We start from the raw sequence: 16,787 nt of genomic DNA on the forward strand, positions 1-16,787 counted from the left end.
ACTTTCTCCTTCAAATATCAAAGGACTCAGAACTAAACATTGAATAACTGCTTCCAAGAGATTACATTTTGTTTAATGTTGTATTGACCAACTCCATAAAATCGTCTCATTTAATACACCATGTTTGCAATGTATAATTGCCAGATTTAGAGGTTAACAAGGGGAGTAATGCACTAGGCTGAACTCTTTTCATGTCAGGGCTTCCCATATCTTGCTAAAACACATTTTGAAGTTGGTTGTTCAGCTCTCATCTATCCACCATGGAGAAAGGAGGAGGAAAAACCCATTATATATGATGTCCATCTTTCCCAGTTACTTGGTTCTCACCCTCTCACCTATTGAGGGTTTCACATCAAAACAATTATTCCAGTCCCAGAGCCAATGATAATGTTAATAGTGTGGTCTCTATTAAAAACTGGGACTGGGTTTTAAATATCTTTGTATCCGTAGAACCTACAATTAAATTTGACTCATGATAAATACTCGAAATGCACTTTGGGAGGCCGAGGCGGGTGGATCACAAGGTCAGGAGATTGAGGCCATCCTTACTAACACGGTGAAACCCTGTCTCTACTAAAAATACAAAAAAATTAGCTGGGCATGGTGGTGGGTGCCTGTAGTCCCGGCTACTCAGGAGGCTGAGGCAGGGGAATGGCGTGAACCCGGAGGCAGAGCTTGCAGTGAGCCGAGATTGGGCCACTGTACTCCAGCCTGGGCAACAGAGCGAGACTCCATCTCAAAAAAAAAAAAAAAAAGAAAGAAAGAAAGAAAGATAAATACAGGAAATGAATTTGCAAAACAAAAATACTTTTAAAAACCAGCCCAAGCTCATATAATTATTCAATTGTTGAATTCAAATTAGAGTAGCCTAAGTCCCAATCTTTAACTGTGGGAGAAGTGAAATATCTAAGCAATAATGAACACATCTGTAAATATAAACTCTGCTTTGTAGCAATAATATGAAAAACTAAGACATAATGAACCACCATTATTTCATTGTATTTCAGCAGTAACCTTCTAAAGTGGGTATTGGATCCACTTCACAGATGTAGAAATGAAACAGAGTCAGGGAAATGGCATTACCAAGTCCATAGACCTACTAAATGTGTAAGAAAAGGATTTGCACCTAATAAACGACATGCTATCCTCCACTGTAGACTATTGATATTCATATAACAAAATGGGTTACTGTTTTCTCTTCAGATGTCCTAGTACCTCTGTTAAATCAAGGTTAGCCTAAAGCTGCCTACTTACATACTTAAGTCAACCTAAAGATTTCTCTATATATAATGAACCATAACCTAATGGAGGTATAAACAGACCATAACCTACTCTTGTGCCAATCATTGAGTTTTGGCCAAAGGGGCCAGCTGTTCAAACCATGTTCAAATAAAGCAAACATCAAGCTGTAGCCAATCCCGCTGTTTGTGTACATCAATTCTGTTTTCTGTATGCCACCGTCCTTTTCTGTTCATAAACCTTGTACTACATGGCTGCAGAGGAGTCTCTTTGAGCCTCTGGTTCAGAGAGCTGCCTGATTTCTGAATCGTGCTTTGGTCAATTAAATTCTGTTAAATTTAGTTTGACTGAAATTTTTCTCTTAAAACCTCATAGACATAAACTTCATCTACTTTCTTAATTTTTTCTTTCTTTTTTTTAATTACCATTTACAAGAAAGAGTTTATCATAAGGTCATTTAAAAGTGGTCACACAAAACTCTGGATAACTTTAAACAGGGAAATCCTAGCAGGAAGGATGTTTCTGATAGTCTGTAAAAATACAAACCAGCTCAATTACAGTGCCTAGTATCTTGTAAAGATGCATCTTCTAGGGCTTCTGGAAAATTCAAAACTATTGGGTTCTCTCCATGGCAAATGTTTAACTGCTGGGATATTCTTAATCAGTAAGTGCCCCCAAATACACAGTTCCATTATCACCGTTGCCATCTGAGAGTACAATAGCATGTAAATAAAAGCTATCCCACAATTAAACAAACAGGTAGAACTGAGTTCTTTATTACAATAATTCAAATACCTTTATTTACATTAAAATTATTAAGCTTACAAATAATTGTATCCAATCACTTAACTACATTAGTGTTCAAATAAAAGGAAGAAAATATTAAAATATGTTTAACTTTTTCTAAATTTCCATGTATAACTTAGTAATAAGACAAAGAGTATCAACCCTGTAAACTAGTTGTCAAAAATTTGTATACACACACTATAGAAACACTCATATACATTCACTTTTTAAGAATATCTACACGCTGAAGTTAAAAATCTCTTCTGATCTCCTTTTTTAAAAATGTTCATTGCATAACAGAAGTGATATTTATGTGTTTGTTTTGTTCTAAAAGAGGCAAGACAACCTTTGAAAAAGCACAAGCCTTACCTTATCTTAAGGTAAACTCAAAGAAAATGTCTACAATTTACTCAAATAACCACTAACTCCAAATAATCCATCTTGAAAAAGAGGAAAGAAAGGGAGTAAATTTACATTGTGTTCTATTATATTCTTTAATGTTATCTAATTTCCAAACAGCATACCCAAGGTAATGCAAATTCTGTTTTATGAGGGCAAATTAAGCCTAATATGCATAAACACAAAGCAGTATCTATTTTTACCATAAAAATACCAAGTCCCTGAACAGTATTTTTATGATGCTGCTTAACAAGTTTGTATTTCCTTGGCAGGAATTTATTTTACTTCTCAAGTATAAAACAGAAATAAAATAAAAGAATAAAAATGAGGTAAAATGCTCAATTCTGTGCAACTCATTCCAACTTCAATAGTATTTTTATTGGTATTGATTTTCTTTACCCGGCACCCTCAGGGATGGACTTGAAGTTCTTCATGTAGGTGGTCTAGTTTGTAGGGTCCTTAAAACTAACATTGCATGATTACCTGCATTCTCTCCAACCCACTTTCATCCTCCTTGTGGTCAAAATAGTCCATATTCCTAGGTCAGTCCTTGTGTTCAATAAAATGCAGACGCTTCATTAAGAACATTAGATGTACCTGGGTAATTTAGTATTTCCAACTGATTTTCAGAGTAGATTAGGTGTTAATGTAATATTGCTTGGCAAATCATTTCAGCAGAAGCAAGTTAGTAGAAATGGTTATATATTCAAAATTAGGTTTTGGCCAATTGATTCTTAATTACACAATCAGAGACTCAAGAGATCAAAGTTAATAGTCCTTCCTCCTCCCCTAAGACATGCAGATACACACACATACACACACATATGCACGCACACCTTGAAAGGTTCTAGCTGCTCTCAGGAATCAAAGGATATCCTGGCAGTATTTGTCTAAGAATAAAGCTTCAAATGTCTAAGCAAGACCACCTACAGTCTATCTGATTGTTCCCTTCAAGGAAGCCAGAAAGAATGTCGATTTAAGAGCCACAAGCAGCAGCTAAGTGTAGTTTAAAAGGAACACATTGGAAACGCTCTCTTTCTGTCAGAGTCACAGTTTGTATGAAAAAGAACACTAGTTAATGTGACTTCAAGAGGTTCCAAACTATTTAAATAGCCATTCGGCTCAGGTACAAAAGAGAAGAGGGCAGGATATAGGATGGAAATGAAAAGACCAACTAAAATATATATAGATATATGAACATATATAGATATATGAACACAAACATACATATGCTCACACATGCACACGCATTCATTGACTCTGTTCCAGCCACACAGGTTTTCTGAGTATGCCAAATTTTCCCATAACACAGATCCTTAGGACTTGTTATATTATTCATGCATGAAATATTTTCAACGTGATTTTTTTCATGTCTGGTTTCTCACTCTTCAATTTACAGCTTGAATGTAATCCCGCCTCTGCTGACCACCGTACAGAAAGCCATTTCCTCTCCCTCCTCTGGTTCATCTCTATCACATCTTTCCCTTCATCTTTATATTCCAAGAACCTAGTGCAGGGTCTGCTTTAGAACAGCCACTCAATACAATGTTCTGTTAATACTGGGGACTCTATTAGATGGGTAATTCTACTTGGGTAATTGATAGTTAACATACGCTGCAATATAAATGTGCATTGGCTATATTACAGGCCATTCTAGGGACTGAATAGAGTATGTGGAAATAAAAGAGTTTTTGCCCTCAAAAAGCTATATCTTGTGGGAGAGGGGGATAAATTGATCAAACCCTGTGGATGATTAGCAATCAAGAAGCACAGAGCTTGGAAAGCCAAGCCAACCTGCATGAGACAGGGAAAATTCCTGAGGCTGATGATAGCCTAGGTGGACCATCTGGGGTTGAGCTAAATAAAAGAATGCTTGGAAGTGCTCTCCAGTCAAAAGAAAAGCAAGCATGCAGCCTTGAAGTCATGATTGTTCTTTGATCTATTTGAAAGTTGAATGTACCTGTACGAGTATGATGATATGTGGGAAAGCAGCTAAACAAAGCAGAACTACATCAATATAAGAAAGCAATATTGTCACATTCATCCATAACAGCAACATAATAAAATTCTATCATCCTTATAATTTAGGTCAACCCTTGTCAATTTGTCAAAGCCTTTTGTATACCATTGCTCTTTATCTATGATTCCACAGGGAAGCAAAAATATAAAGGTTAGAAGGGTGGGCTCTGGAGTCAAATTTCTCTAAAGCCTCCTGGCTGGAGAATCACAGATTTGATCCTCAGTTTCTTCATCCATGATAGAGATTGATCATAATCTTCAGAATTATTTTATGAAGTAAAATAATGCATATGAAACTATTTGTATCAGGAGTGTCATATAATACTCAATAATTACAATTGTCACACTCTTGAAAACATTCTCCACATCTGAGATTATCTACTAAGATTATCTACTAAGAGTAGTATTTCAGAGACAATTTCCTTCTCTACTCAAGAGTATGACACAGGAGGCTCTCCCTGATCTGACCCTGACCATTTCTTTCTAGCTCCATCTCCATCAGTATAACCCCCAGGCCATTCCCTGGACAACTGCCTTAGAGACCGTACAAAATTCCCAGCTACACACAGCCCGATCATAACTTTTCACATTCACACATGTTGCTTGTCCTCTCTGCCTGAAATCCTTTCTCTCATTTGGCCAACTTCTGATTTTCCTTCAAAAATCAACTTGATTCTCACTTTTTCTTGAAATTCTTCTTTAACACACCTTCTCCCCCATCTCCATCTCTCACCTTCATCTAACTTAAATACTTCCATTCTATTCCTATCTGTGGGCACCTCTCACATAGGAAAGGCCAGGCTCTACTATACTTATTCACCTGCCTGGCTGCAGAATTAACTATAGACCTTGTGGTGCCCAGTACAAAACACAAATGTGAAAAAAAGAAAAAAAGACATCATTTAACATACTAAATATAAAGGGTGTTTTCCTTTCTTCCACATCTCTCTTTTGCTTACGTGAATGCTTCTTTGTCCCATAGAACTTCACTTTTGAAAAATTAAGAATCTCGAGACAATGACAGCAGAGGATTCATCAAAGCATAGGGCCCCTTGGGGTAACAGACACCTGTGGGACTCTACTGGTTACTCGCAAAAGCCAGCCCTGCCTTATCCTCCCTCTCTCTCTCTCTCTCTCTGTGTGTGTGTGTGTGTATATATATATGTATGTATATAGAGAGATGTGTGTGTGTGTATATATATATATACGCATACATATATACACACACATACACAGAAAGAGACAGAGGGAGGAAATGTTTATTACACCTCAACAAATCTTTCTCTCTGTATGTGTGTCTGTGTATATACACATATATATACACACACATATGTATGATATCTATATATCTATATATACACACACACAGAGACAGGGAGGATATGGTCATTATACCTTAACAAATCTCTCTCTCTCTGTATGTGTGTGTGTATATATATATACATATATGTATATATGTGTGCATATATATGTGTATATGTGTTTATATGTAAATATATATACACACACACAGAGGGAGGATATGGTCATTATACCTTAACAAATCTTTCTCTGTATGTGGTGTATGTGTGTGTGTGTGTATATATATATATATATATATATATATATATACACACATACACACACACACACAACATATATGTATGTATGTGTGTGTGTATACACATACATATATACATATATGTGTGTGTGTATACACATACATATATACATATGTGTGTGTGTATACACATACATATATACATATGTGTGTGTGTATACACATACATATATACATATGTGTGTGTATACACATACATATATACATGTGTGTGTGTATACACACATATATACATGTGTGTGTGTATACACATACATATATACGTGTGTGTGTATACACACATATATACGTGTGTGTGTATACACACATATATACGTGTGTGTGTATACACACATATATACATGTGTGTGTGTATACACATACATATATACATGTGTGTGTGTATACACATACATATATACATATATGTGTGTGTGTATACACATACATATGTAAAATACACACACAAACACAGAGAGAGTATACATATATTCTGTCCTCAGCACAAAGTCTGTCACATTGCCATCACTCGGTAAAAGTGTTTAACTATTTTTTCTTAGTAATAAAGCGGGGAATATTGAGCCCATAAGCTGGTGCCCAAAAAGACTCTTGATGTTGAAAGAACTGCAGTATAAATAACTGAGCAAATGGATGAATTATTGCTAATTCAGAGCTGTTCCCCCTTTTTCATTCAGTTTGCTTACCTGTTGCCCTCCTTCCTCCCTCTCGCCCTTTCTTTCTTCCTTTGCCTTCCACTACCAATCAGTCTTGACTGGCTGGATCTTCGTGGGCAAACTGAAGAGTATACTTCATCCTTTTAAAAAAATATATTGCCAGACCTCTCGCTGCTAGCTTCAAGATTGTTCACCTCATGTTGCCCACTTTCCCTTGTCTGCATTCTCTGAGGATTTGCATTCAATAAAGTTATGAAAGTTCTATGAAAATCAGAGTAGCATCTCAGATGGGCTCCCTGCTTCTCCTCCTGTCTCCCTACAGGTCACCCCGCCCCTTAAAGAAGACAGAAGGATCTCTATAAGAACAGGAATTGGGGCTGGGCACGGTGGCTCATGCCTGTAATTCCAGCACTTTAGGAAGCCAAGGCGGGTGGATTACTCGAGGTCAGGAGTTTGAGACCAGCCTGGCCAATATGGTGAAACCCTGTCTCTACTAAAAATACAAAATTAGCCAGGTGTGGAGGCACGCACATGTAGTCCCAGCTGCTTGGGAGGTTGAGGCGGAAGAATCGCTTGAACCCGGGAGGCAGAGGTTGCAGTGAGCTGATATCGCACCACTGCTCTCCAGCCTGGGCAACAGAGTGAGACATAGTCTCAAAAAAAAAAAGAACATGAATTGGATCACATCATTCGCCCACTGAACATCTCCAGCAGCAGCGAATCCCTGTCAAACACTTCTCCGGCAAATCCCTGTCCATGGCTGATGAGTTCTACCTGCTTCTCTCTTTCCTTGTCCTCTCTCTTTTCTGTCTCCCACACTGTGGTCATGCTTCCTTGTTCTCTTCTTTTTCCTTAGATCTGCCCAGCTGCTTCTTGTCTCAGGGAAAGAGCTTCATAGGCTTTCATTCCAGTCTCTGCTCTCCTGTTTCCTCTTCACGGAAGAATCTTCTGTTTACTACTCTTTATCTCCTAACCCAGCCTAATAAATAGCACACCCACAACTGTAGCTCTCTTCCATTAGAAGGTGAGTTGTTCATTTGTTTCACATTAAAAGAAAAATGTTAGGTAAGATCAGTCTTGTGCACCTCTGTGCCTCTATACCTAGAACAATGCCTAGCAAAAAGTAGAAACTCTATAAATATATTTTTAAATTTATTAAAAAGGAGAGCAATACAAGTACAGTTGACCCTTGAACAATACAAGGATTAGGGGTCCGAAGCCCCATTCTCCACACAGTGGAAAATTTACTTACAACTTTGACTCCCCCAAAAAACTTAACTAATAGCCTTCTGTGTACTGATAATGTAAATAGTTGATTATCACATATTTTGTATATTATAGACATTATATGCTCTATTCTTAGAATTAAAATAAGCTAGAGAAAAGAAATTGCTATTAAGAAAACTATAAGGAAGAGAAAATATATTTACTGTGCATGAAGTGGAAGTGGATTATCAGAAATAACTTTATCCTCATTGTCTTCACCTTGAGTAGCTGAAGAGGAGGAGGAGGAGGAGGGGCTTGTCTTGCTGTCGCAGAAGTGGCAGAGGCAGAAGAAAATCTATGTACCAGTGGACTCATAAAGTTCAAACTCACATTGTCAAGGGCCAGCTGTACTAAGTAAGCATGTCTCCATGCAAGTGAGCATAGCATTGAACCCTCAGATGAGGTACAGCAGGCATGGGGTCAGGATGGAGGGTGTGGGGGAAGTGGGGCAGGAAGATATAATTACCTGAGGGTGTGACCTTTGTATTACCGGAGTATATGACGGTACCTGAGTGTATTACCTGAGTGTATGACCATCACACTCAGCATTTTCTGTACCATCACATGATCTGCATGAACCTGCCCTTCGAAGAGAGTTCTGAGCACATTTTTGCAAGCCCAGTTAGTCTGGGGCTGTTGGCCTGAAGCATCACTTATAATACAGCAGGAGTTAATGAGCTTTGACTTAAAATTGGTGCTTTACTCCTTTCTGTTCAAAACTGAACGTATGCTGTTCCTTCTGTTTTTGTAACAAAAGTATGGCATAACATGGCAAAACGGAACAAAAGTATAAAATTGTGTAAAATATAAAATAAGCCTTTCTTCACATCCAACCTCCCAACTCTGCCTGAAGCAAAAATTTATAACTTCCTCAGGTGAATGTTTTTAGACATTCAGTGTACACATTTATGTTACTATGCATATAACACTTCTGTTTTTTTTCTTTATGGAAATGAGAGAAATAAAGCAAAGTTATGTAACATCTTTTGATCTTTTTTTCATTGAATTTATTTTAGAATTCTGTTGTAACATTGTATTCACATCAATGTTGTATTTTTAATGACTATGCACCATTCCATGGAACAAATAAAGCACAGTTTACCTTAAAATTTTTCCTGTCGATAAACACGTAAATTAATTCTTCTCTGCCTAAGTTCATTCCAATTATGAGGTTGGATTCTGAATATCAGGGCCATATTGTATCTTCCATTCACTACATCACTTTGGGAAATTGAGTCTTCCCCAGAGTAGAAAGCAAAGCAAGGAATGATAAGGCATGGTGGGGAGGGGGGAGACAAAAAACTGGACCCTAGGCACACCCTTCCTCCATGTCCCTTCCATGTCACCATGACCATCAGTGCAGTAATTGACACAAGGTGTCTAAAATACTCCATCATGTTTGTTATATACCCATTCCATCTACAACATTTTTACTTTTGTCTTTAAGTTGACTTTTTACTCAAATTTATTTCAAAAACAACTTTATATCACCATTGTAACAGCAAACCTGTATCACATGCCATAAATAAACATAATCATAAAAATAAATTCAATGAAAACAAAGCAATGTTATTAAATTCTGTCTAGATGCTGTTGCCAGCCAAAGGCTCTAAGAAAGACAGAAGGGGCCTCAGGCCAAGGGAGGTGTTAATCTCCCTTTTTAATACTCACTAAAAATTAACGATAAAGTGAGACTTTGTTCTCCATTGTGATAAGGACTGAAAGAGAAAGGAAGAGGTCATGCCTTGGGAAATAACAAACTACCCACTTTCTAAAGTCTTTCTCAAGCTCCCACTGTTCCTGAATATTTGAGGAATCAAATATTCCTCAATGTTAATTGATTGATGGTAGTTGAGTTTTTGTTAATATTTTCATTACTTGAGAATCTTCTAACATGTCAGACATAAGTGAATGCTTAGAAACACACTTTTAAGTTTGTTCAAACCCTTTCTATCTTGCTTATCTCTACAGAAAAAGAAGCAGCCAATGGCAACACAATTAGGCTCTCGGGCATTTCTCTCTAGAAAGTCCTTCAAGCCTCACCTGTTTACAATGAACACAGACTTAGGGGCTAAAATACAGTAAGTCTTCACTTAATATCCTCAAACGGTTCTTGGAAACTGAAACTTTAAGCCAAACAACTTACAATAAAACCAATTTTATTATATCATAGGCCAATAGATATCAACAAGACTTAAAAGGTTCCTATGGAATGTTTCCAGTCACAAAACCATCACTAAATGTCTAAAGACCAAAACATCTCTTGTATTAAACACTGAAATAATTGTGAGTTCTACATACATTTTAAAAAGATTAATAGAAACAAGTAAGATAATAACCTACCCAATTATTCCAGTTCAGGGTTGAGGATGGCAGGATTCTAACCTGGCAGTTCAGGGCACCAGGTGGGAACCGCCCAGGACAGGGGGTCATTCCACTGCAGGACACACTCTCACACACATCCACACTAGCTTTGCAATGGACCATTTAGACACTCCAATTCACATAACAATCATATCGTTGGGATGGGAAAAGTAACCGGAAGGAGAGAAAACCCAGGCATACATGATGAGAACGTGCAGGCTCCACACAATGGCCCAAGCTGAGAGATTTTTTTTTTTTCCTCAACCAAAACAATCTTGAATGAAACCAGGTTATTCCGGGACCTGCTGTACTTGGCTGAGGTCCTAGCTCAACTCTTGAGTGGGTCTGTGGCCTTGAGTATAGCACTGCTTTCTCTGGGCCTCGGTCTGCCCTGAAATCGTCAATGGATCCATCATCTGGTGCTGTCCCTCTCTACAGAGCACAATCGATTCTCTCTCCTAACTTAAGTGTTGGCCCTCTAGATTGCTTACTGACCACCTTTCTCCTTCCATCCTACCCTACTGCTTTGTAGAGAATAGATTGATTTTTTTAAATGTGAATTTGATTATGTCTTTTTGTGTTTAAAATCTTTTGATTGCTTTCCTGTGCAAAAACAATAAAATCCGAATTCCTGACAGCATCCTACTCAGCTCTACATAATCTGGCCTCTACCACAGAAGCCTTTGAGTTCCTCTTATACATCTAGTTCTTTCCTACCTCCATCTACCCCAAGGCCTTTGCTACATGCTGGTTTTTATATCTGAATTTCTTTTTCTCCCACATCTGTTCATCCTCTGGCTTTGGGGGTTGAGGTTGGGGGCATCTGTGTTCAAAATATAAGAAACAGCATGTGAAAATCCCCTCAAGTAGGCATCACTTCTGTCTAACTAACCGTACAAAGTGGTCCATTTATGACCATTTCATCTAACATAGACTTCCCCTACTCATTTGTTATTTTCTATCAGCACCTGGTTTGTTTTATTCGCAGCCAATTTCCCATTCTGATGCTTAATTTATCAACCTGCTTACATTCTTGCAGAGAAGGAAGAACCAAAAGCAAGTCACCTTTTCATAAGGGCTGGGATCACGTCCACTGCTGAACTGCCAGTATCCAACACAGGGCCAGGCGTGGGGCAGTTATTTCACACATGTTTACTAAATATTCCAAGGACCCCTTTATGAAACCCAAGGTTCACAATAGCAAAGTCCCCTAACTCCAGTATTTAACAACCCAACTTTCTGTAAGGTTTCTATGGCTCTCAGAAAACTATCAGTAAAATTTAAAATAAGCTCACATAAGGTGGATGTCTCATAAAGTAACTCCTGTCTCCTGCTACCAAACTTGATTCTAAATAAATGAAAGAACAAAAGCAAGGACTAGAAGAAACATATACACAAAAGCATTTTACAACTGCCTGCCTTCCTGGTAAAACATGCTGATAAGGACAGGCCTGGTGCTAGTGTACTTTGGGGGACATTATGACTACACATTTCTAACTAGGTCTACTCATTTGAAAGTGGGCACTTTCATGAAAATGAGCCATAACATATGTTAATTCCTTTCATTTGCAGCAGCTCTTTAGCATAACATGTATGGAGAATGCATATTCCTGTATTATCCTTCTGTTTACACCAGAATCCTGACAACTAATTGTTCTGGTAACACCTTATGCCTTGATCAAAAATGTGACACTATTAAAGGGTTAGCAAAATTGGCTTGCTAGGATGAAAATAAAAAAATGCTTGCAAGATTTAGGAAGAAATAGCAATTAATTCATTGATTTTATCGCAAAAAACTTTATTAGGCCAAATCCCTTCTTTGAAAATGTTACTTTGAAGAGAAGAGTATAAAACAATGTCTTAGTCTACATATTTATTATGCTTTTTTCAAGAAGACATAAAATGGTGCTAATTTGAGAGGAACCCAACTTGTATGTTGATATAATTTATCAATAAAAAATAGAATGTGGGCCGGGCGCCGTGGCTCACGTCTGTAATCCCAGCACTTTGGGAGGCAGAGGTGGGCAGATCACGATGTCAAGAGATCTAGACAACCTTGGCCAACATGGTGAAACCCCATCTTTACTAAAAATACAAAAATTAGCTAGGTGTGGTGGTGTTCGCCTGTAGTCCCAGCTACTTGGGAGGCTGAGGCAGGAGAATTGCTTGAACCTGGGAGGCGGAGGTTGCAGTGAGCTGAGATCGTGCCACTGCCCTCCAGCCTGCGGACGGAGCAAGACTCCATCTCAAAATAAAAAAAAAAGAAGAAGAAAAGAATGAAAAGAATGTGGTTATTCAGAAACACACACAGAGTAGTTCCCTAAATATTCAACTATATAATTAGCTTAATATCACAGAATGTGTCCAATAAGAACACTTAAGAATACATTGCTTCAAATCAAAATTAAATCAAATCAAAATTAAATCAACTAAATCAATGCATTCTAAAATATAGAAATAAACAATGAGCAATTTTTAATTTTAGCACTTAAGTAGAGAGAAGGCTAGAATTCTAAAACAACCACTTCATGCAAAGCCCTGCACTAGAACCTTTACATGCATTAACTCATTTATTAGCTAAAGCAACCATGAAAAATATGAGAGGATAATTTCACTTTAAAGAAGAGGAACATGGGCCAGGCATGGTGGCTCACACCTGTAATCCCAACACTTTGGGAGGCCAACACGGGAGGACACCTGAGGCCAGGAGTTCAAGACCAGCCTGAGCAACACAGCAAAACCCCCTCTCTAGAAGAAAAAAAAATAGCCAAGTGTGGTGGCACACACTTGTGGTCTCAGCTACTCAGGAGGCTGGGACGGGAAGATCCCTTGAGCCCAGGAGTCCGAGGCTGCAGTAAGATATGGCTGTGCCACTGCACTCCAGATAGGGGAATAGAGTAAGATCCTGTCCCTAAAAAATAAAGAGAAGAGGAATGGCCATCTTAGAAGAGATAAAATACTAGTTAAGTCATACAGTTTGTAAAAGGTAGACATGCCAACATATCCCATGTATGGATGATTGCAAATAGTGTGTAGGTTTTATTTCTCTCTTTCCAGTACCACCACATTTCCTCCCAATGTGTTAATGCCGATAATTAGTAACCAAGTGAAAAATCTCATGCTGGGATTAAAATATTCTTATTGCAGGTTGAGTGTCCCTTATCTGAAATGCTTAGCACCAGGAGGATTTGGGATTTCTTTATAAATAATTTGGAATATTTGCATATACATACAGAGCTATCTTGGGGATGGAAACAAAGTCTAAACAGGAAATTCATTTATGTTTCATGTACATCATATACATGTAGCCAGAAGACAATTTTATACAAGATTTTAAATAATTTTTGATGAAACAGAGTTGTGACTGTGACTGAGGTCAGGGGTGGAATTTTCCACTTATGGCATTATGTCCTCTCTCAAAGTTTCAGATTTTGAAGGCTTTTGGATTTGGGATTTTCAGATTAGGGATGCTCAATCTGTACTTATACGACAGTTGAATTTAAATTGAGATTATTTATTTATTTATTTATTTCGTTTGAGACGGAGTTTCGCTCTTGTTACCCAGGCTGGAGTGCAATGGCATGATCTTGGCTCATAGCAACCTCCGCCTCCTGGGTTCAAGCAATTCTCCTGCCTCGGCCTCCCTAGTAGCTGGGATTACAGGCGCCCGCCACCACGCCCAGCTAATTTTTTGTATTTTTAGTGGAGACAGGGTTTCACCCTGTTGGCCAGGCTGGTCTCGAACTCCTGACCTTGGGCGATCCACCCGCTTTGGCCTCCCAAAGAGCTGGGATTACATAAGCAACCGGGCTGGGCCTAGAGATCATTATTTTAAGAACAATGGTTCTTTAACTGGAATCAGGGTTACCTGGAGGGTAGTTTTATGCAAATTCCTGTGATCCACTTCCAAAAAATTACAAATGAATAGAAATTTATGCACATGACTCAAAAACTACTCTGTGAGAAAGAATGAAACAGGTTAAGTATCTGAAGGTTTTTCCTCCTCCTTTCATTCACCCTCGTCTATTGAGTGATGTGTCAAGTTTTTCCCACTCTTTCACTGCAATCTTACAGCTTAGGTAATTATGCCCATTCTAAAGGTGATAAAGGTTCTCTCAAAAGCTGTGAGACCTAGGACAGGTAAAGGGCACAATGGTGAGTCAAATCCAGTGTTACCTGGCTGCAATCACAATCCTCTCCATCTCCAAGTCTTTATCCTCCCTTCCCTTGTAAGCAGAGTATAAAATAACACTATCAAATAAGCAGAATCGATGAAAGAAAAGCCTAGCTTTTAGTATAAAAACTACCATTTAACATTATCTGAATAGACTTTCTGCAGCTTAATTTAATAAATGAGGCATCGTTTTTTAGACTCCAAGCATAATAAACTCTCATTTGCATTGACTGGATTCATAAATTCATGCTGTTAAAAACCTGTTTCTGTCAGGGTTGGCCCAGGCCCCCACAGCTTTCACTCACATTCCAATTCTAAGCGGCAGGAGGGAGTTTGCCGATCACAAGCATCAGCTATCATTAGTTCATTTCCTTTAGTGCTGCTTGAGAAAGCGGCGTGAAGCCTGACAAGGTGCAGGCAGCTCATCTAAAACAAGTTCTCCACTGCTCCCAGAAAGGGTGAGGACATCTCCCAATTTCCCTTTACTGCATATGGATTATTTTTTCTTGGCAAAAGACCATAGCAGAATGCTCAGAGTCCAAGATTCTTGAGATGCACAGATCTAGGGTTTGGATTTACACAAAAAGGAACTGAAATAAAACCTTCTCAGTCAGAGCTTCATGTTTAAGGAGAAACAGAAATAAAAGCGATGGTGTTGGTATGTGTTAAAAAGCCCTATCTCTTTCCCCTTATATGGGCAATAATGATCTGAATGACTCAAAACAAATAGAACTCCCGGTTCTCAGAGTAAGTGCTGTGGAGTGAGGATGGGCATCTGACAGTGAGAATTCTCAGAACTTCGGGAACATAACCAGAAACAAGCACAGAAAACCACTTCAGAAAGCTAACTCCAATGGCAGACCCATCATTGAACGGATTCAGTGTAGATTGAATCTTCCCTTTCTGAATCTTTCTTGGCACGTAGCTGGTTTCTTGAATAGTGCTTACATTTTATTTTGAAATCCATGACAGAATATCCAGAGTGCAGAGAAGCCCTACATGGGCTTATCTATGGAATGTATTAAATAACTTCCGATGCCTCTCCCAGCTCTAACAGACTATTTCGGTCAGTATCAGACAATCATCCAAATATGATCATTTATCTATATAAAGAGATATTAGATATTATATTATTTGCCAATGCATTTCATTCATCAATTTAACAAAGATTTACTGACCATCTGATAGATTCACTGTGTACTGGACAACCGGTGGAATAAGATGTGTATAGTCTCATTCCTGATCCCCTTACTAAATATTGCATTCCCCTTAAGTGTAGTGGCATGAAAATAAATCCAGTGTATGGAAGTAGTTCCCAGGACTGTGATATGAGAGCATCAATCAAGCATGAGCCCATCTTCTAAACAACAATGCTTAGACCCAGAGATAGGTGTGTGACTCAAAGCCACCAATGAAGATGCTTCTTCCCTTGGGGTTGCTATGTGAATGCTGAAAAAGAAATCTGTTCTCTTAGTTTGAAATACTATAATAATGGTAACCTCCTTCGCTGCTATGTGCTAGGCCAGCTGCTCAGGACTTCACACATAGTATCTCTGATCTTCAATATATGTCTTAAAGGCATCTATTATTAGCTCTATATTAAACATGCTCCACAATATACATTACTTTCTACAAGGTCACCCCATTATTAAAATTGGGATGCTGAACTTTTACCTAAGTTAGTAAGATGCCATAATCCATGTACTCTGCATTACACCAAGATAACTTGAGCTTAATGTGCTGATGTAGAAGTCTAGGTAGAAACATTAGCCATGTGATTTAGAAACTTAAAAAAAGAGACTTAGTTTAGAGACACATATTTGTATGTCAGCATGATCCAAGTGATATCCAAACTCAAGGGAAAAATAAGAGAAGAAAATGAAGCAGAAAAATTTAGAGAAAGTTTCTGTTCATAAGTAGAAGTTAAATAAAAGTCATTAAAGGCATAGAAAAATGGGAAACTTGATAATGGTAATTTTTTGACAATGTATATGTGTATCAAAATGTTACATTGTACGCCTTAAAAATATATAATTTTTATTTGTCAATTATACATAAATAAAGCTGAAAAAAATAAAAGAAAAATGAGGAACTCTGTGAGAAAATAAATAACTATTTTCCCTATTCTGCTCTCATGACACAGAACGCTTCTGTGACCAAATGCATGGGGGATTTTCCCCACCCCAAACAAGCAATCAATTCTACAGATTCTGCATCAGGCACCAGCTGGGTGCCTTCTAATTCAACTTAGTTCTGACACCGTCTCCCTGGAGATAGCATCAGACCC

The 16,787-nt window shown here is 38.1% G+C and overlaps 1 protein-coding gene across 5 annotated transcripts in view, besides 2 other annotated features; it reads right to left on the reverse strand.

Annotated features, from left to right (window-relative positions):
- CDH8 (cadherin 8) overlaps positions 1 to 16,787 on the reverse strand; it is a 389,189-nt gene that overhangs the window by 306,713 nt on the left and 65,689 nt on the right. The gene's annotated exons all lie outside the window — the stretch shown is intronic.
- Positions 2,836 to 3,714: an enhancer, noted in NCBI's record as "OCT4-NANOG hESC enhancer chr16:61990702-61991580 (GRCh37/hg19 assembly coordinates)". NCBI's record gives its function as "activates a minimal SCP1, AML or CMV promoter by ChIP-STARR-seq in naive H9 embryonic stem cells {active_cell/tissue: H9 hESC(naive)}" and the evidence as "EXISTENCE:reporter gene assay evidence [ECO:0000049][PMID:30033119]".
- Positions 14,544 to 15,061: an enhancer, noted in NCBI's record as "OCT4-NANOG hESC enhancer chr16:62002410-62002927 (GRCh37/hg19 assembly coordinates)". NCBI's record gives its function as "activates a minimal SCP1, AML or CMV promoter by ChIP-STARR-seq in naive H9 embryonic stem cells {active_cell/tissue: H9 hESC(naive)}" and the evidence as "EXISTENCE:reporter gene assay evidence [ECO:0000049][PMID:30033119]".

Source organism: Homo sapiens, chromosome 16, assembly GCF_000001405.40.
Source record: "Homo sapiens chromosome 16, GRCh38.p14 Primary Assembly".
Lineage (NCBI taxonomy): Eukaryota > Metazoa > Chordata > Mammalia > Primates > Hominidae > Homo > Homo sapiens.